This window comes from Homo sapiens, chromosome 2 (assembly GCF_000001405.40).
Source record: "Homo sapiens chromosome 2, GRCh38.p14 Primary Assembly".
NCBI classification, from domain to species: Eukaryota; Metazoa; Chordata; class Mammalia; order Primates; family Hominidae; genus Homo; species Homo sapiens.
In genome coordinates this window covers 95,315,627-95,335,287 of record NC_000002.12, presented here as the reverse complement: position 1 = coordinate 95,335,287, position 19,661 = coordinate 95,315,627, and the positions used below count along the sequence as shown (strand labels likewise).

At 56.6% G+C, this 19,661-nt stretch overlaps 1 protein-coding gene across 1 annotated transcript in view, besides 5 other annotated features; it reads right to left on the bottom strand.

The window, feature by feature from the left end:
- Positions 1 to 19,661, bottom strand: part of KCNIP3 (potassium voltage-gated channel interacting protein 3) — an 88,731-nt gene that overhangs the window by 50,790 nt on the left and 18,280 nt on the right. The gene's annotated exons all lie outside the window — the stretch shown is intronic.
- Positions 3,746 to 4,245: an enhancer, noted in NCBI's record as "H3K4me1 hESC enhancer chr2:95996791-95997290 (GRCh37/hg19 assembly coordinates)". NCBI's record gives its function as "activates a minimal SCP1, AML or CMV promoter by ChIP-STARR-seq in naive H9 embryonic stem cells {active_cell/tissue: H9 hESC(naive)}" and the evidence as "EXISTENCE:reporter gene assay evidence [ECO:0000049][PMID:30033119]".
- Positions 4,246 to 4,747: an enhancer, noted in NCBI's record as "H3K4me1 hESC enhancer chr2:95996289-95996790 (GRCh37/hg19 assembly coordinates)". NCBI's record gives its function as "activates a minimal SCP1, AML or CMV promoter by ChIP-STARR-seq in naive H9 embryonic stem cells {active_cell/tissue: H9 hESC(naive)}" and the evidence as "EXISTENCE:reporter gene assay evidence [ECO:0000049][PMID:30033119]".
- Positions 7,946 to 8,513: an enhancer, noted in NCBI's record as "H3K4me1 hESC enhancer chr2:95992523-95993090 (GRCh37/hg19 assembly coordinates)". NCBI's record gives its function as "activates a minimal SCP1, AML or CMV promoter by ChIP-STARR-seq in naive H9 embryonic stem cells {active_cell/tissue: H9 hESC(naive)}" and the evidence as "EXISTENCE:reporter gene assay evidence [ECO:0000049][PMID:30033119]".
- Positions 16,156 to 16,657: an enhancer, noted in NCBI's record as "H3K4me1 hESC enhancer chr2:95984379-95984880 (GRCh37/hg19 assembly coordinates)". NCBI's record gives its function as "activates a minimal SCP1, AML or CMV promoter by ChIP-STARR-seq in naive and primed H9 embryonic stem cells {active_cell/tissue: H9 hESC(naive and primed)}" and the evidence as "EXISTENCE:reporter gene assay evidence [ECO:0000049][PMID:30033119]".
- Positions 19,050 to 19,550: an enhancer, noted in NCBI's record as "H3K4me1 hESC enhancer chr2:95981486-95981986 (GRCh37/hg19 assembly coordinates)". NCBI's record gives its function as "activates a minimal SCP1, AML or CMV promoter by ChIP-STARR-seq in naive H9 embryonic stem cells {active_cell/tissue: H9 hESC(naive)}" and the evidence as "EXISTENCE:reporter gene assay evidence [ECO:0000049][PMID:30033119]".

Below are 19,661 nucleotides of genomic sequence, written 5' to 3'. Positions count from 1 at the left end.
AAATTGTGAGAATATATCATTAGTAGATACATTCCACAAGAAGTACTGAACAGGTAAAATTTCCCATGTGGGAACCACATTCTGGGAATAGATCTTTTCCCATCACAGGAGCTGTGGGATCTCTTAGCATCTCAGGCCAGAGTCAGGACCAGTGATCTGAAAGGAAAGGAATTTCATGTTCTTAATTAAGTAGTTCTGGTTCCCATGGTTCTCATGGTCAGGAAAGACTTGGAAGGTAGGAGAAGACCAAGCTACTTGGCCAAGTGGGGACTTGACACATGCCCAAGTGTTACTGTGGTAGCAGGCCCCTCACTGCATAGCTCTGGGAATATTCTCCTTTGAGCGCTCAGTGACCTGTTTGATTCCCCCTTGGTCAGGGGAACGAATCTGTCTTCATGCCCCCATCCCCTTACAAGGTATATCCAAGTCCCCATCTGTTCTGCCAGAGGTCTGCAAGTATCTAGTAACATTGAACAGGCAATGGAAGGGGAACGTTTGAGGCCAGCTTGTCCTGTGAGCCCCTCACCCTGCTTCCTGGTCCCCAGTGATGAAAGGTTCCCATTTCCTCTCCCATGTGGAGGATTTCTCATCCCATCTTGTGTCTTTTCATGCCCCTACCCAGATTCAGTGCAGGGGAGCTGACCAGTCCCAGCATGGCAGGACTGGGTAAGGCCAGCTGTAGCTCTTCTCTTCATACTCTTAGAGTTTGTACAAGGCCCACCATGTTGGTTTGTGAGTTTCTCTGGGTAAATTTCTGGGTTTTGGCTGAACGTGGCTTTCCCACCTCTCTCTGCTGGCAAGAGGGGAGGATAGTGACGGTAGGGAGATCCAAGGCTGTGTGACCTCAGCTGCCTGGCTTCGCACCTCCTTGAGCCTCAGTTTCCTTCATCCCCAAAGTGGGGAAGCATTCCTTAACCCCTGCCCACCCTGCATATTGTCATGAGAACCAGGTGCACACATGCCCATGCAAGTGTGCTGTAAACAGGGTCCTATGGGACATGCTAACTAGTGCGGTGCTATTCTAACCCCCCCGCCAGTCTAGGCTGGCACCCTCTGCACAGAGTGTATGCAGGAAGCACGGCCGGCCAACTCAGAGCCTGTGTTCCCCTGGCACTCGCCCCACTCACACGGGTCATCAATCCTCATGTTTTATGATGCTGACGCAAAGTGTTCTCAAGTCACATCCTCGCTGGTGATCTGTGAAGATCTCTGAACATAAGCATTTCTTTGTTTGAACTTGAGCCGAGGGCCCAAGGGTGTCTTGGGGAATTTCCATCTGGGACGCTTGATGCCAGGATCTCAGCTTCTGCAGTGTCTTCTGACAGCTCAGAGAGGTGTGTGTCTTGCAGATGGCCTGTGTCAGCTGAATGCAGACGAATGACTTGGGAATCACAACCTTGGGGTCTGAGTCAGAAAGCAGCAGGGGAGCAGCCAGGGTGCTGGGCAGGAGTGAGACGCCCCCTATCCAAGTCCCACCTTTGCCTCAAGGAAGCTGGGAGGACTCAGCCACCCATCATGCCCTCTGCGTTCAGTGAGGGAATTGGGTAATAATAATGGATAGCAGCAGTGTCATTCATTGCTGCTTACCATGTGCCAGGCACTGTCCTAGGCACTCACTGACATAGTATCATTGAATCCTCACCATGCTCCTACGAGCTGTCACAATTGCAACCAACAGAGGCTACAGGACTTGCCCATACGGTCTCTAGAAGCATCAGGACTCTATCCTGAGCACGTGCTCTGAGGAGTCTCTGGAAACACCCAAGCATTCCCTTCTTCGAGGCTAGGTTGACCGAGGGCGGGCCCTGGTGAGGCCACCACAGGAGAGGAGTCAGGGTCCAGGGCAGTCTGTTTCCCGCAGCAGTAGTGGTAGAATGGCTTTTGATTCTTTTCTCAATCCGGAGGGATGTAAGATTTCAGAGTTAGAAGAGGCCTAGGTTCATGCATTTACTCATTTGACAAATACTTCCCAAGTCGACTCTGTGCCTGCCAGATGTGGCACTACATGCTGCAGCTGCGGCCCTGGCCTCAAGGAGCTTACACTCTAGAGGTGCAGGCAGATAGTCAAACAGTTATAAGGGCATGGCCAAGTCTGTGGCCGGGGATTTATCCTCAGAGCAAGGGAGCATTCGTTTGGTTTTTGTTTTCTCTATAACAACCACTCTAGCTGCAGCGTGACTGCATGCAGAGTAGGGGAGCTACAGTGATTTTACCCCAACTCCCATTTCACAGGTGAGACAAGTGAGGCCCAGCAGAGGCTGTCACAGAACTCACGCGAGACAGGGCATTTCACATTCACATAACTTTACATTTTATTAAGCATCTTCACATTTGTCTTGTCCCTTTGTCCCTAAGTCTGGAAGACCCCCAAGGATGTAATTGTGATTCCCATTTAACAGATGAGAAAATTGAGGCCCAGAGGGACAAAAGGTCTTCCCAAACACAGAGACAAAAAGAGGCAGGGAAGGCTTGAGAACCCAGGTCTGAGATTCCAAAGCCAGGGCTCTTCACCACCCCCATGTTGTCTTGAAAATATAAAGGGTGTATAGTAAAGGTTCTGAGAAGTTCTGTAGTGAAAGAATTTGTGTAGCCTCATATGACTAGTACTCCCCAAATGTGTTTGCCCACAAAATACCTTTCCACATGACACATATTAATATCCCATGGCCCACACTTGAAGACGAAATGAAATAATGCTTACATTTGTTCTCTTTAATATTAAGGAACACCTCCTCCTCTCCGTCCCCTCACCTGTTTTCTGGGACTCCTTTTAGATGAAAGATGAGCATGCTGAACTCTCCTCCATGACTTTTAAGTTCTTTTTGATATTTTCAAAATAAGAGATGGCGTTCCGCCATGTTGGCCAGGCTGGTCTTGAACTCCTGACCTCAGGTCATCCACCCGCCTCAGCCTCCCAAAGTGCTGGTATTATAGGCATGAGCCACCAAGGCGGGCCAGACTTATATAAACCTTAAAACAGTTGACTCAGAATAAAATCAGATCATCAATACGTTCTCCTGTTGGTACGCATCTGCCCCAGAGCGCCAGGGCCATTTGTGTGTCACATGCATGTTCTCGCCTGGCTCTGTGCAGTCTGGTTGAGGGCTCAGGAGGACCGGCCTTTTGCCTGTGCTCCTGGGCCCCTGGATTCCTTGGCCTGTGCCTCCTCTCTCTGTCTGAATGCTGAGATGCTGTATTAAGGCTAACTTGAGTGAACTTGCTCAGTCAAAGGGACCTGTTAGCCCTTAAACCAAACCACTGGAAGAGAACGGGGCGGGGATGACCAGAAAAGTCCGCTCACACCGTGTCCTTCACCTCTCACATGCAGACGCTGCATGTCAGCGTCCCTACTCAAGTGGCTTCTTCCATGTGGCTTCATGGTTGGCTACAAGAAGTTGCCCAGGCCTGCATGTCACAGCCTCTGCATCCCAGTCACAGGGCCTCCCACTGTCAAAATATCTGAGAAGGGATCTCCTTGGCCCAGCCTGGGTCGGGCACCTGCCCTGGCCAGTGGGTATTCCTGTCGTGACTGGCCAGCTGGATCGGGTAAGAAGCTGGGAGCCCTCGTGGCTACCGATGGCAGAACAGGATGTGGGGCGCTCTTTGGAATGTGGATAGGTGTCTTTCTGAACAGAAGAAACAATAGCAGCCTTCTGCAAATGTCCAAGCCAAGCTCTGAGGATGGGCGCAGGCAGCGGGAGCAAGGAGGCCTTTAGACATCAGCGTGCACGACTGGCTCAGTCCTGGGCCTCTTCTGCTCGGTCTTTTGGCTTCAAATCCGTCTATGTGCTGATGACCCCCAAATGTATCCCTCCACTTCCAACCCTTGCAGATCCCACCTGCCTCCTTGAAGCCTCTGCTAGGATCTCTTTAGATGTCTCAGACTTGAAATGCTACCACCAAGCCCCCTCCTCCCCTCACGCCAGGCCAGCTTCTGTTTTTCCCACCACAGTGAATAACAGCTTGGTTCTTCCAGCAGCTCAGGACAAAAGCCTTGGCCTGACTCCTCTCGTTCTCACGCAACAGACACCCAGGACATCTGCAAATCCTTTCGGTCCCATCTTCAGAGTGCCTCCAAATGTACCGCTGCTCCCTCCCGCCTCCGCTGCCACCCTGGACAGCCACAAATCCCTGCCACTCCCTCGCCTACCCCTCGGGCTCAGCCTCCACCCCTCATCAGCAGGAGGGGCCTCTCCTGCCAGCTCACCTCACCCTGAGCTCTGGCCCTTGCTGCCCCTCTGCCTGCCTGGACAGCTTCCCTTTCACTCTCCCTCACCCCTCGGATCTGTATTTGAACGCCATGTGCCCTGCAGGCCCTGCCCTAGGCACCCCTCCCTTCTTCCCAGTCCTAGGTAATTTCTGCAGCCCTATTCCCTTGCAATATATCGTTTACTCATCAATCTCATTTTATAGCCTATAAGCTCTAGGGGTTTTTATTCTGTCTGGTTCCCTGCTGTGTCCCCAGAGCCTGGGACATTGCCTGCCAGAGGAGGCAAGGAGACCCACGGCTTCACAATGGGATGTTCTCAGACCAGAGAGCAGAGGAGGGATCAGTGCCAGCCCAGTGAACTGGGATTGGGAGCCACAGCCCCGGCACCCTGGCTGAAAGGGCCCTCTGCATCGGTGGCCACTGGCTCCAGGCCAGCTGCAGTTCTAGTGACTGTGTGCCTGTCCTCTCACGCCCCTTGTGGTGTTTGTCTGGCTGTGAGAGTTTTACACTGGGCAGCTGCCCTGGGGGGTACGGACGGGTGAGTCTCCCTTAGCACCAATGTGTGACCCGGACTGGGCCTCGAGGGAGAGGCAAGTGAAGTTGGTAGTGGAGCTCTTGGGAGCGCCTGGTCACCCTGCCCTGAGAGCAGGGCTGGGACACAACGCAGTCCCCTAGACTCCACCCCATATGGGATGGCCCTCAGAGGCCACTGGGGAGCAGCCCCAGCCAGGAGACCTGGTGCCCAGGAGATGCTATAAATATTGATTTGGCTTCACCTCCACCCCCAGCCCTTGGCAGGGGAGGTCTGGGCTGAGGCCTGTCCAGGGACCCATTCAGAATCAGCCTCCCCTGTCACCTCGAGATGCCCCAGGTCCCTGCCCCTCCCTGCCCAGTATCACTTCAGGGCACCCTGGGGAGCCGCGGCCAGACCTTCCTGCTCCTGCCTCTTCTCACCCCAGCCCTGCAACTCAATTACTCCCAGCTCACTTCTGCTGCGGCAGCTGGCGGTGGCTGCGGCCGGAGGTGAGGGACGTCCTGAGTCCCTCCTAGAAGTGGTCAGAGGCAGGGCAGGGAGGCCAGGATCTGCAGCAGAAATGGGGAGAGGGGCCTCCGGCAGAGGGGACGAGAGGGGGACCAGAGCGGGGGCGAAGGCCCTGAGTTGGCATTTTCAGGTTTGCGTTTGGAGACAATTAGGAGTTGAATTATTAAAGACGCGCAGGGAAGAGCTGTTTTTAAGAAAGCATGAGTAAGCAGGGGCATCTCACAGCAGCACCCAGGATCGAAGGCGATCAATGGCCGTAATGGCTGTAAATATTTACTCGGCTTAATTGGGAACGTGCACGCCAGCCACAAACCTGACGCAGGGGTCCATGCCCAGCAGACCCCCGTCAGGCCAGCCAGAGGGCACAGCTTCAGCCTGCTCCCGGGTCCCCCCACTCCCGGCAGCCAGGCCAGCACTGTGTGAGACCAGCGGTGATGGAGCCCCAGCGGTGCAGGTGCCCTCAGGGCACGGGGTCTGGAGTCAGATACAGGGGGGCCCTACCAGCTTGATCACACCAGACAGGCTGCTTAACCCCCCTGTAGGATGGGCTAGTGATGCCCATGTCAGGGCATGTGAGCAAGCCCAGTGCAGTGTCCAGGGTGGCCAGTGCCCAGCGAATGCCAGTCCTGTTGGCCTGGGGCCTGGTGGTCCAGAGGTGGAGGGCAGGTATCAAGGGAGATGCATGGGCCTCTGCTCTTACCCCAGACCTTTGGCTTAGTCGAAGTACAGGATCAGCTTACTCTAGAAAGTGGGATGTTCTCCATAGGAGTGCTATGGGATAAGAAGGTTGTAGGGCCACTCTGAGGCTTGGCCCGCGCTGGGAGCCACAGCACTAACTAGGCACTTACTGTGCACGGAGTACTCCTGGGCTAATCGCCGTGTTCTATTTAATCCTCGAAGTAACCCAAAGAGACAATTTCTTCTCTCATCACAGCCCATGTTAAAGATGAGGAAGTGGAGGCCAAGAGAGGCATGGTGACTTGCCCAAGGTCTCTGCAGTCCAAGCCATCCCACCTTTCCTAGGAACCGCTGGGCTACACTGAGACCCATCCATTCTCTGCCCTCCCCTCCTCTGCAGCTCCCCTCTTCCTTCCATGGGTCACTGAGAGGAGTCCCTGGCCCCAGCCAGCAGCCTGCATTCCTGAGGGCATAGCTAAGGCCCAGCAAAGGCCAGAGCTCGGAGGCAGCTAGAACTGAAAGACATCTGACCTGTGTTTCTTCCTCCAAGGTGTGTGCTGGGGCACACTCTTCCCCACCCCAAGAGTCTGGTACTGGGGAGCAATGCCTGCTCAGGCCAGGCTCCCTGGCGGTCAGTTAGCAGATCTGACTGTAGACTGAGAATGCTGCCCTAAGAATAGCACCCGAGCCCCTCCCCAGCACACAGGGACGGCAGTCACAGACGACCTGAAGGCGGTGAGCACGCTCACACACACAGGAGTGTGCACACACATGCATGTGCCACACACATGGGTACACGCACCTAAGCAGGCACGCAGCGGCGTCCAGCCCACCCTCCCCAGATTCACCACTTCCTTTGTGAGATCAGTGCTTGGAAACAGCTCAGCTGCCCACTGCCCTCCCCACCGCTCTCCTCCAGGCGCTCAGACAGAGCCCACAGCCTCTCTGAGTGGGCCTCACATTTCCCAAGCGGGATACTGTGGCTCAGACAGTGTGTGGAGCAGCAGCAGCACTGCTCTGGGAGTTAGACCTAAACGACCTCAGACAGCTCACATTCTTTCTCCAGTCCTCAGTTTCCTCATTGGTGCCATGAGAGCTCAGAAGGTCTACGATGAAGGCCAGAGGGGCCGGGGGAGGGGGGAGAGTGTGCCATCATGTTTGGCCCATTTTCCCAGTCCTGGGGAAGCTGGTGGGGGCTGGGGGTGGTGCAGGCTTGCGTGTGTGAGATCCTCATGGTGAAGTCCCCATGGGGTGAGGCTGAGATAAACTGCACACGGGCCCTTGCCCCTGCTCTCTTCCCCTGAGAGGGTGTGGGGGCCACGGAGCCCCAGCTCTTTCCAGTACAGGCTGGCAGCAGGTCTGCAAATCTCCCCAGGTCAGGTCTGTCCCCGACAACCCAACCACAGCAGATTCTACGGCAAGTTTAGCATGGAAGTTTGGGGTGAGTGTTTGGGGTGAGATTGGAAGGGGACCTGCAAGGTGGGAGGCAGAGGGGAAGGCTTCCCTGGCTCCTTCTTCCCTCCCAGCTGGGCTGAGTCCTGCTGCGTGTAGCCTCTAGGGTGCCTCATGCTGTGTGTTGGACGGATAGATGGACAAACAGATGGATGGACAAACCATTCCCTCTCTCAGCCTCAAGCTCTTCCCCTGGAAGATGGGGGCGATGGTGACGCCCCCTGCAGGATTAGCATGAAGACTAGCTGAGGGCACAGGTGTGGGCACCAGCACCTGCCCAAGACAGAGAAGGTGTCCTGCCACTCCAGATCCCTCCTCACAGTGGACATCCCCTTGCTCTGGCCCCAGGAGGTGCTCAGAAGCCACATCAACTGTGGCTACAAATGAAAACAACAGCCACTGCTTCCGGTGCATGTAAGTGTGACAGAGAGTGTGAGTGTGCATGGTGACTGTGCGTGTGTGGGTGTGTACGTGTGTGCATGTGTGAGTGTAAGCGTATGTGAGAGTGTGTGTATGTGTGCGTGTGTGTGAATGTGTGTGAGTGCACATCCAGGGTTCTTAAAAAGCAGGTAGGGTGGCCTCAGCCACTGAGCTGGGATCCCTAAGTGCAAGGGGACAATGAGGTCCTGGGGATGGGAACTAGGGGCAAGTGATGCCACTCACTACAGACAAGGTGGGCATGGTTAGTGTAAGGCACCATCATCAGGACTCGCAGAGACCTTGGGAGTCGGCCAGTTGACCTAGGGTTCCTAGAATGGAGCTAGGTGGTGACCTACTCAAGCCTTCCTTGTTCCGTAGACGTGGCACAGTCTAGGTCTAGTGAACAGTCAGCCTTCAGTCCTCCGGCAAGAGAGTGACTTGTCCCGTGCAATCTGACTGGGCAGCCGGCACGTGCCGAGCACTGTGGTGATAAGAGGGAGCAAGTCTTCTGAGGAGGCGACCCGTAAACCGAGGCCTGCTGAGGAGAGCGGCCATGAGGTGCGGGTGCTGGGGGCAGCGAGGGCCCCACGCATGAGTGCCCTGCCGAGGAAGGGCAGGGCGAGGGGAGTTCCAGGCGGAGGCCTACTGGGGCCAAGGGGCTCAGCCATGTGGGCAGAGCCAGGTCCCACGGGGCCCTGTAGGCCGAGGTGCATTTGGAATTTATTCGAGGACCAACGGAAATCAGGGTTTGGGCAGGAGAGTGGCAGACTCCAATTTACATTTCTGAAGCTGCCCCTGGGCCAGGTGGCCAGAGGAGGCCTGTCCTCTGGGGAGACCGGGGAACAAGGAAAAGAGTCAAGAGCAACCCCCACCATGGGCGTTCCCACCGCCATTCACAAGCACAGCCGCAGTGCAGCAGGGGGTGTCCTGTAGGGCTTCCCATTTGAGAACAGGGCCGGCAGGCCGGTCCAGTTACACAGGTCCTGTAGGCCATGTTGGGCGCTAAGAATTTGGGAGCCGCTGCCCTCCCAGAGCCTGGCGTGATGCTGTTCTTGGCCCTCCCGAGTGCAGTGTGTGAACGTGTGTGTGCATGTATGTGTATGTGAGTGTGAGTGTGTACTGGGGTGTGTGTTTATGTGTGCACATGTGAGTATATGTGTTTACACGTGTGTGTGTATGTGTATGTGTGTAATGAGTGTGTATGTGTAGTGAGTGTATGTGTGAGTGTATGTGTGAGTGTTGTGTGTGTGTATGTGTATGTGTATGAGTGTGTGTGTATATGAGTGCGTGTATGTGTGTATGACTGTGTATATGTGTATATGAGTGCGTATATAAGTGTATGTGTGTCTGACTTTATAAGTGTGCGTGTATGTGTATGTGTATATGTGTGTATGTGTATATGAGTGTGTTAGTATGAGTGAATGTGTATGTGTGTGTGTATATGAGTGTATGTGTGTATGAGTGAATGTGTATGTGTGTGTCTGAGTGTGTGTGAGTGTGTAGGAGTGTATGTGTGCCTATGAGTGTGTGTATGTGTGAGTGTGTATGTGTATGTGTATGAGTGTGTATGTGTATGAGTGAATGTGTGTCTATGAGTGTGTGTATGTCTGAGTGTATGTGTGCCTGTGAGTGTATGTGTGTATGAGTGTGTATGAGTGTATGTGTATGTGTGTATGAGTGTATGTGTGTATGAGTGTGTATGAGTGTGTGTATATGAGTGTGTATGTGTGTATGAGTGCGTGTGTATGAGTGTGTATGTGTATAAGTGTATGACTGTGTGTATGTATGAGTGTGTATGTGTATGAGTGTGTATGTGTATGAGTGTGTATCTATTTGTGTGTATGCGTGTGTGTGTGTGAGTGTGTGTGTGTACGTGTGTATGAGTGTGTGAGTGCGTGTGTGCGTGCATGTGCCCTGACCTGCCCCCTGCTCTGGGCATCTTGCCTCGCTCCAGGACACCTGTTTTGGGGGTAGGGGACAATGGCTGCCTTGGCCCCCTGAACCTCCTGCCTGGCCAGGACCCTCCTCACGGGATACCCAGCTTTCAGCCAGACCCCAAGCTGCTGGGACGTCCCCTGACTGTCCTCTTGTGTTCTTTCTTAGGCTCAGAGGCGGGCACAGGTTTCCGCACCCGCCCTCCTGCTGGGCTGAGCTGCGGCCAGCACTCCCTGCCACAGCCTCCCCGCTGCTCAGGTGAGCTCCTGCACCGTCTCCGCCAGGCCCCACTCCAGTCCCAGGATTCCGGTCAATGCTCAGGCCCAGGCCCAAGCCCAAGCCCTTCCCTCTCTGGGAGGGCCAGCTCTCAGCCACCCGAGTTGGGGTCCAGGCCTGTGGACCCCACCAGCGTGGCTGCACCTTGCTCCAAAGGCTGGCAGGGGCCCAGCCAGTACACTTCCCTCCTCACGCTGTCCCTGTCCTCTGCCTGTCGCTCAGCCAGCAAGGGACTGGAGCCCCCCTTCTACCTCCCAGCCCAGCCTCAGCCAGCCAGGGGTTTGTCACCGTGGTCCTGGGCTTTTTGCATTTCCTCCCAAATTGGAAGAGATCATAAAACTGTCTTTTGTTTTGTCTTGTTTTTGAGACAGAGTCTCACTCTGTCACCCAGGCTGGAGTGCAGTGGCGCCATCTCAGCTCATTGCAACCTCAGCCTCCCAGGTTCAAGCCATTCTTCTGCCTCAACCTCCCGAGTAGCTGGGACTACAGGCGCCCGCCACTACGCCAGGCTAACTTTTGTGTTTTTAGTAGAGACGGGGTTTCACCATATTGGCCAGGCTGGTCTCGAACTCCTGACCTTGTGATTCGCCCACCTTGGCCTCCCAAAGTGCTGGGATTACAGGCGTGAGCCACCATGCCAGGCCAAAACTGTCATTTTTTTTATTTTGCAAAGCAAGGGCATGAAAAAAATGTTTTTTAAAAAACTACTCACGTTATTTTTATTTATTTATTTATTTATTTATTTATTTATCTATTTATTTTGAGACGGAGTCTCGCTCTGTCGCCCAAGCTGGAGTGCAGTGGCGCAATCTCGCTTACTGCAAGCTCCGCCTCCTGGGCCCACGCCATTCTCCTGCCTCAGCCTCTGGAGTAGCTGTGACTACAGGCGCCCGCCACCACGCCCAGCTAATTTTTTTGGTATTTTTTAGTAGAGACGGGGTTTCACCGTGTTAGCCAGGATGGTCTCGATCTCCTGACCTCGTGATCCGCCTGCCTCGGCCTCCCAAAGTGCTGGGATTACAGGCGTGAGCCACCGCGCCCGGCCCTCACGTTATTAAGAAAAACTTCTGAGCATTATTTCAAACAAGAATGAAAACCTGAATCTGTGTCAGGGAATCCGTTTAGTTCACTGACTAAGTCAGCCCAGCGCCCATCTCTCCTCATTCCCCACAGAGGCCCCGCCAGCCCACGGAGGGGAGGTGGGGAGCCCCGGTCTATCTGCGTGGGTGGGGATTCCAAGGCAGTGGCCGCGGGCTCCCTCTGCCTCCCCGCCCCATCAGGTGCAGGCCCGGAGTGTGGATGAGGCACCTGCAGTCAGAAGCCCTGCACGTGGCCCTGGCAGCCCTCCCCTCCCCTGCCCTCAGGAGCTGGCCCCTCATCCATACAGGAGGACAGGTCTTCCTAGACAAAACCATCTGCCTCCCGAGGCCTCTGGGATGACATGGGACAAGGCCACTGCCACCCCAAGGCCTGCGGGGCCCTAGGGACCAGGGCAGGGGCTGCTAGGGAGAGGTTCCCAGCCTGTCCGGGGCTTAGCTTGGGGCATCGGGAGCCAGGACACATCCTGGAAGACAGGTGGCATCCCGGGGATGCCAGATCCTGGTGCCTTTAAGCCCCAAAGTTGTGACGGGGTGGGAACAGAAAACGCGGTGGAGCCAGTGACTTGAAGGAGTGAAATGGTCCAGGGAGGCGGACGCGTTGGCACCTGCTACCCCCTGGTGGAAGAGGAGGGAATGCCTGCAGAGAGCACTCCTGCACCCGCAGGGAGGGGCCCTTTCCTGGAGGGGTGGCCAGGCCTGCGGGCTCCAGCCTGGAAGATTGTGCCACGGAGCCCAGAGCACTGACTGCCCTCTCTGCCACCGCAGTTCTGCCTTTTCCTTGAGTAGCTCTAAGCACACAGAGACGTTTCCTCCCACCCCAGAGCATCTGAAAGCTGCTCCTGTCTCCTCTCCCCACCTTCCCAAAAAACTCCCAACCTCCTGCACCCCAGAGGGCAGGGATGTGGGCCCCACATGCCCAGCATACTGGGGAGGGACCTGGTGCCAGGAAGGTGGCCATGGGGCCAAACGGCCCTGTGCCTGGGCAGGTGGCTCTGCACCTTTCTGGAGGCTGCCCTGCCCATCTCGCCAGTCATCACGTCCTTCCGCTGACCCTCCCATAGTGTTCCTGTTCACCCCCCTCCTACATGTTCTATTTGGCCGTTAGGAGGCAGGCAATGGGGGAGGCTGGGTGGGTGGAGGCCAGAGCGGGGGCCAGGACCACAGCAGCCCATTCTTCCTTGAGAATCCCAAATTCCTGGGTAAAGAAGAGCATGGACCTGCTCGCGGTGGCTCTTAATGAACTCTGCCTCATTGGCAAGGCCCTGGGGAAGTGTTTGAGGAGTGCTCTGAGCAGAGGGGCACAGGGCCTCGCAGTACTCAGAAGCGCCAGGGAGAGCTGCCAAGGGCTGGGGTTGGGTGGTGTTTTGAAGGCAGGCCCCGTCCCGTGAACAGGAGCCGCAAGCACACCCCAGGCTCCCTGGCCCCTGTGCCGGGATAAGCGGGGTGGGGAGAAATCACGGGATAGACATCTGGTCTAGACCTTGAAAATCCTTCTCTCCAGCCTTCACTTCACAGACAAGAAAACCGAGGCCCCAACTCAGGGCCTTGAAACCAGTCCAACTATCACCAGCCCTGCCCTTGTGGCCAGGGGCAGCACTGCTTTGGCCCTTTATGGACACTGATAGAATCCTTAAAACCACTCTCCACTGTGCGCATTTGATGGATGAGGAGACTGAGATGCATAGAGACCCAGCAACTTGTCCAGGGTCACAGCAAGGTGGGGAGGGCAGCAGGCTGTCCCACGGGGACAGGGCTTTTCACGTGCCTCTGACAACCCTCTACAGTGACCTCATTCTTTTTTATTTTTTTCTTTGAGGCAGGATCTCACTCTGTTACCCAGGCTGGAGTGCAGTGGCACAAACACAGCTCACTGCAGCCTTGACCTCCCGGGTTCAAGCGATCTGCCCATGTTCCCTGCAAGTAGCTAGGACCACAGGTGTGTGTCACCATGTCCGGCTAATTTTTGTATTTTTTGTAGAGATTGGATCTCACTGTGTGCCCAAGCTGGTCTCGAACTCCTGGGCTCAAGCAATCTGCCCACCTCGACCTCCCAAAGTGCTGGGATTACAGGCATGAGCCACTAGGCCTTGCCAACCTCATTATTCTTATGGCCATTTTGCAGATGAGGAAACTGAGGCTCAGAGAGGTTAGAAGCAATTTGCTTCACACAGAGCTATGAGTGGCAGAGATGAGATGCTTAAGAGTAGTGGAAACGTGGCCTGAGGAGAATTGAGTGGCCTTTGAGGTCCCACCAGGCACTGTCTAGCATGGCGGTCAGGGGATCTGACTCTCGGAGGGGCAGAACTAAGCTGCACGATTGATTAGGGCTCCGATGTCTTCCAGGCCTGTAACACAGTTACAGATGCCATGGTTTCCTCTTCCCTCTGGCAGAGGAGATAACCCTGCAGGCAGTGGCCTCACTCACCTGGGTCTTTCTCAGTTTCATATCCCTTCTGTTTAACTGAGCAGTCCTGTCTCTGTGTGCCTTTTGTTCCCACCCTCTCTAAAGAGCCCCGTGTTTCTCTTAAATCAGCTCTGTCGTTCGTTAGTCCCCTCATTAGGGAGTTCAACAGAACCTTGACACGCACTCAATGTCTATTTGCAGAATGGCATTTTTAGTGCGTCAGAATGACGCTGTGTCAATTCAAGCCAGATGTGCCCAATTTTGTGTGTAACTTCTGGTCTCTGCTGCCTCCGTCGGGTGCCCCAGCCCCAGCCCTGACCCCCCTTCTTCCACTGCACCCCAGACTTGTCTCTGGGGCTCCATCCGGGGCGCCTGCCCTGTGATAGGGTGAGTGACCCAGAGCACAGGGCTGACGCTCTCTTGACGTGAACTCCATGCTTATATCTGGTATTAAATGTAACTTTTCCTGTTGAGTTTGAGAGAAGTCCCAACAGCCAGGAACAGCACGAGAGATACAGGACCAGCTCTGCAGGCCACACTAAGGTGCTGCGAAACCGGCTCTGTGACCCACCCCTTCATCCACAGAGGGTGGCGTAGGGAAGGCTGGGGGTGCCGGGGAGGAAAGGGCCTAGACTTCCCTAGGCTTGGGGGACTGGGGAGGGGAGGGCCTAGGGAAGGCTCGGGGGGCAGGGCCAGGGAGGAGAGGCTTGGGGTGTGGGGAGGAGAGGCTGGGGGTGTGGGGAGGAGAGGCTGGGGGTCAGGGAGGAGAGGGCCTAGGAAAGGCTGGGGATGCCAGGGAGGAGAGGCTGGGGAGGGGTGGGGAGGAGAGGGCCTAGGGAAGGCTGGGGGGGCAGGGAGGAGAGGCTGGGTGGGGCCGAGGGGGGCGGGGAGGAGAGGGCCTAGGGAAGGCTGGGTGGAGTGCTGAGCATTTTCCCTCCTTCTCCCACCCTGGGGAGCTTCAGTCCATCCTCCCTCCAATTCAGGGACTTCTGAGAAGGCCATGGTGATCTGAATGTGTCCCCTGGAGTTTGGGGGATGCAGGGCCAGTTGGGTCTGACGTACTCCTGGAGGAGGTCGGGTGGTGACTGTGGCTACACTGGCCAGTGGCCGCCAGGGTGAGGACAGTGAACTGGACACCCACCCAGAGGCCTTCATGGAGCCGGAGGGGATGCTCCCAGGGAATCCATCTTCAAAGTCCCATCCTCCCCACAAGAAAGACCACGGGAGAGGGGCAGGCTCAGCACCTGGGAGACAGGCCGAGGGGTGGCAGGGGCTGCTGAGGGGTGGCGGCCTTGGGCAGGTCTGGGAAGGGCATAGAGACCCGGGACCCGCCCACACCCCACCACACCCTGCCTCCTCCTCCCCGACCCCTCCAGGCTGCCGTGAGTGGCAGGAGGGAGTCCTGAAGCAAAGAAGGGGTGCCGGGCTGGAAAGGATTCCCTGAGTACTTGCTGACACCTGAAAGGTGACCACAGGATCTGCAGAAAATTTAATGCAAATGGCAGGGAAGAGCAGCCACACCGAGTGGACTGAGGGTCAGAGGCCACAGCGCCTCAGGCTCCCTCCGTGTGGTTCCATACCTTGGCAGCAGGCAGTGGTGTTTTCAGCAGCACCCACCTCATTCTCAGCCGCGCCTCCGGGTCCACACCCAGCCAGCTCTAGCCTCCTCACCCCTGCTCCCAGAGAGCACCTCCCTGGCTGGCTGAGAATCCCAGAACCGGCATCGCCAGAGCTGGGAGGAACTCAGAGGTGGACCAGCAAGCCCCAGCCCTCGGTGCCAGGAGAGGCACCTGGGGCCCCGGGCAGAGGCAAACCTGCCGCTCTTGCCCTCCCTCCCTTGTTCTGAGATGGGGCTCAACGGCCACCTTGGGAGCAGCCCTCCTGGCCTCCTAATCCAATACGAGGCTTATGTCTCACTCTCCCTAAGGAAGGCAAGGAACATGGACTGAGACAGACGGCGCAGCGGAGGGAGAGAGAGGGAGCACCATGAGCCCAAGAGCCTGTGAGGCAGGTAAAAGGCATGACACAGGCGCCCGGAGCTCCAGACGATACGGACTCTTGCTTATGGCAACATCATGGCAATAAACTGGCCCTCTGGGCCACCCAGCGGAGGAGGCACTATCGCTCTAGCCCCTCCAGGGAAGATAAGGAGCCAGGCCAAGGGCGGGCAGGAGGGATGCTTGGGGTCACTAGCCAGGAGGAGCAAGGAGGAGCACCCAGCTTGGAGGGTCATGCCCAGCAGCTCAGTGACCTCAGGTACATTCCTCTCCCCCTGGGCCTGGCCCACCAGTGTCTCACCTCACAGAGAAGCGGCCCAGGGTCCACTGTCTTCAAAGTTCTCTCCTTCCCCAAAATAACTTCCTGAGGAAGGGAAGGCTTGGGAGCCTAAGGCACCGCTAAGGGACAGCACATGTAGCCACAGCATTCCCCTCTCTTTTGAAAAACTGGAAGGCCCAGGAACCCTGGGCTCTCCGAGTCCCCACTCAGAGCCACCAAACTTGCCACCTGGGGCTAGACTGAGCCCCCGGCTCCACCAGCCTCCGCACAGCAGGGTCCGCCTTCCTCCTGCAGACTCTGTGCTGCTCTACCGCTCTCCAAGCCCCTGTTATTCTACTTGTTTGGGGATGCGTGAGTGTATGCTCAATCTTACATTTGCATGCTTCTCAAAATGTCATGCATGAATTTGACAGGTATTTTATGTGCCAGGCTCTGTGCAAGGCACTCAGGACAGGGCAGGGACAAGATTGGGGGATGAGCCCCTGGTCCCTGGAGATGCTGTGGCAGCCCAGCCCTGCCGGCGGCTGCAGGTGACCTCTCAGCATGGGGGCAGCATCTTCTGGCAGCATAGGCAGCTTGTGGCACCAGGTCCTGGGATGTACATGTCACATGTCTACACCAGCTCATCTTTGTTTTAGGGACATCATTTTATCTCTCTTTGGAAATCACTTGACTTCTTTAGCCTACTCTCCTCCGCGTCCCCACAGCACTTGCTCAGCACTCCAAGCTGCTGATGCTCACTCCTTTCAGGGTCTGAAGCTCCTGATATCAACCCTTCCCAGCAAATGCCAGGTCCCCCCATGCAGGGCACCACCCCTGTGCCTGCTTCGTAGCCCCGTGGCCGAGACTTGGTCTTGGTCCTGCTCAGCCCCGGGTGCAGGCAGAGGAGGGAGAGCCTGGAGTGGAACTGGCTGGCTGTGGATCACCCACCTCCCGGTTCCCCACAGGCCTGGGCCCACAAGTACCGACTCAGGGAGTCCCCTACATCCCTGCCAAGGCCTCCAGGTTGCTTAGGTTTCATAGGTTTTGGGAGGTGGCTGTCATTAACTGAGCACTTTCTGTATAGAGGTCTTAATACACACCTGCCCATTTTTGTTAATCCTCATCACAGACACCACTTCTGCCTTTGATGGAAGAGGAGAGGGTTTCCAGTGAGGGAAGGAGACGGGGAGGGCCTGGGCGGTCGAGTCAGTGTGCACAGGAGGAGGACTGGCCTGAGAGCCACCCCACTCTCTCCCAGCCCAGGCTTGTCCTGAGTCTGTGTACCCCATGGAGAAGCCAGCGGCTCCCCATCTGCTCTCCCTCCCTGGGCCCATGAGTGGGGGATCCCAGGCTTGGCATTCACTGTCCCCAGGTCACAGTGGGGAGGGGTGGGCTGCAAAGACTGCAGTCCTTCCTGGTCCTGCTCCCAGGGCCACTGCCCACCCCTGCCCCCTGTCACCCCTACCCCAGATAAGGCAGGCCCAATCCTTGACCCGGCCCAAAGCTGTCCCTTCTGTAGCCCCATCCCAGCCCCACCAAAGCAACCCTCACCTCCAGCCAGGTTCCCAGAGATGAAGCGGAAGAAGACGCTGATGATGCCTCCCAGGTGCTTCCCACAGCCATGCTGGCACTCCTGCAGCCTCGGGCCAGGGCCGCACCCTGCCATCCTTGGGCCTGGCTTAATCCGCCCGACTCCTGCCCTCAGCTCTGCCCTGCCTGCCACTGTGCAGGCGGTACCCCCACAAGCCTGCTCCCTGACCTCCTCTGCCAGCCTCTCCTCAGCCTGACACTCAACACCTTTCTTTTTCTAGGACTCCCCACTCCTGGTCTGTCTGTCTGTCTCTGTCTCTCAAAAGCAGCGTCTCTCCTCTTGGTCTCAGCTTGTCCCCAGTGTCTTGGGCGCTCTGGGCCTGTCCTTCTCTCCTCTGCTTTCTGTCCCTGCTTCTGGCTCTCCCAGCCTTTCCGGGGACTGCCTGCCCCTCAGCCCAGAGCCCCGGGGCAGCCAGAGTGCACTCAGTCCTCCTGCCTTGGGTTTGCCTTCTCAGGTAGCCCCTGCCCCTGCCACAGGGCTGGCCCCTTCACCTGGTGCCTGGCCTCAGCCTCCAGGCCCCCGGAGCTCACTGTTCCTGGAGGCAGAAGGGCCCCTGCGGCTTCCTGGGCTGGGAGGCGTGGGGATGGGGTGGGCGTCACTCCTGAGCTCCCAGCACCAACAGAGGAGGTGACACTGGTGTGATTATCAGCTGAGGGTGTGATCTCACTGCAGAGGGGCCTCACCCGGGCCCCAGGGCTTCTCTGCAGCCAGACAGGGAACAGCCTGCTCTCACACAGTCCCCTGCCTAGGAGGCTCAGGGCCAGGGGCCCTGAGTAGGACGGGGGCATAGGTAGGGCCCTAGCCTTAGGCTGTCTCTTGACCTCTGACCTCTATCCACTGGCCTCATCCCTCAGCCCTGCTGTGCCTCTCTAAAATGCAGAAGGGGAAGTGGGAAGCGGTTCCTCTGCTGAGGAGCAGAAGGGAGAGCCAAATTCATGACTGGAGCTGACCAACCCCCTGCCCTCCACATTTTTGAGCACTTAGCAATAAATAAAGGCGATAACAGCCAGGCAGCTTGCTAAGGTCTTTCTGGGTGCCAGTGAGTGCCTTCAGTCATCAAAACAACCCTGCAAGCCACATGTGGCTGAGAATGCCAGTTCTGTATTCATTCTTCCTGAGTTTCACCAGCAGGGTTCAGATGCTGTTGGAGATGGAAATGCGCCCAGCTGAAAACTCCACCATTCCCCTGCCTTCCTCGCAGTGAGGGCAGCTTATCTCTGGCCAGTGGAATGGAAGCATCTGTCTTCCAGAGACTTCTGTGAGTGCTGCCTTCCTGACATGGGGACCACCACTCTCCGCTTCCACCTGGGTTCTCCTTCCTGTTGCCTGAAATGAGGCTGTGTGGGCTGCAAAGCAACCACATTGCCACAGTGAGGGGAACGGTAGAAGAACCCAAGACATTGACACTGACGTCCCCCAGCTGCCAAACTAGTGCCAGCCACCGCCTCACCCCATGTTTCCCATATAGGAGCCGATGCACCTGTCTTGATCAAGCCACTGTTATTTGGGGTTTCTGTTATATGCAAGTTCAGGCAAGCCAAGGGATCCCTTGCAGAGGGAAAGACGAGCTGCTGCGCCTCGCACCCCTGCCAGTAAAGGAAGGTGCGGTGCCCGGCGGGCCTCCTGTGCACCACAGTTAAATGTGCGGCTCAGAGGCTGTTCCGCAGGTGCAGGCCAAGTACAAGCAGTGCTGCCCCTTGGGCCTAATGACCCAGAACATTCAATGACACACGATGAGTCTAAGGCAAGTTGGAATGCTCTACGGGGCCATGGCAGGCCCCCAGAGGGGAAATCTGTGGTCTCTTGGGTTTTGAGCAATGCCAAAAATCTCTCCTGTTGGCATTCAGCTAACTTCCCACTGCTGGGCTGCTGTGGGGGTGGAGCGCCTGATGGTGAGAGAGACAGAGACAGAGAGACAGAGTAGGTGGCCATGAGCCCCGAAACACCCAACAGCAATCGAGTATCAACCTCTCGCCCAGCCCCACTGGTATCTGCATGTGCACACAGTGCTCTGTCGTCATGCCCAGGTGCTGTGGATGGGGCCCGAGGCAGGGCAGGTCTGGAGGGCGCAGGGAGGCTGTACCTGCGGGGGCTGCGACTCCCACAGTACCTGCTGCATTGCCGCTTTCCCCACAGCCCACCCGCCCCCTACGGTCTCGAAGCCGTCTGAGGAGGAAAAACTTTCGGAGGTGACTTATAGACAGAGCTGCAAGAAATGTTGGCCCCAACTCTAGGTGACACTGAGGCCCACCTAGGGGAAGGACGTGGAGAAGGGACATCTTCCTGGTACATGT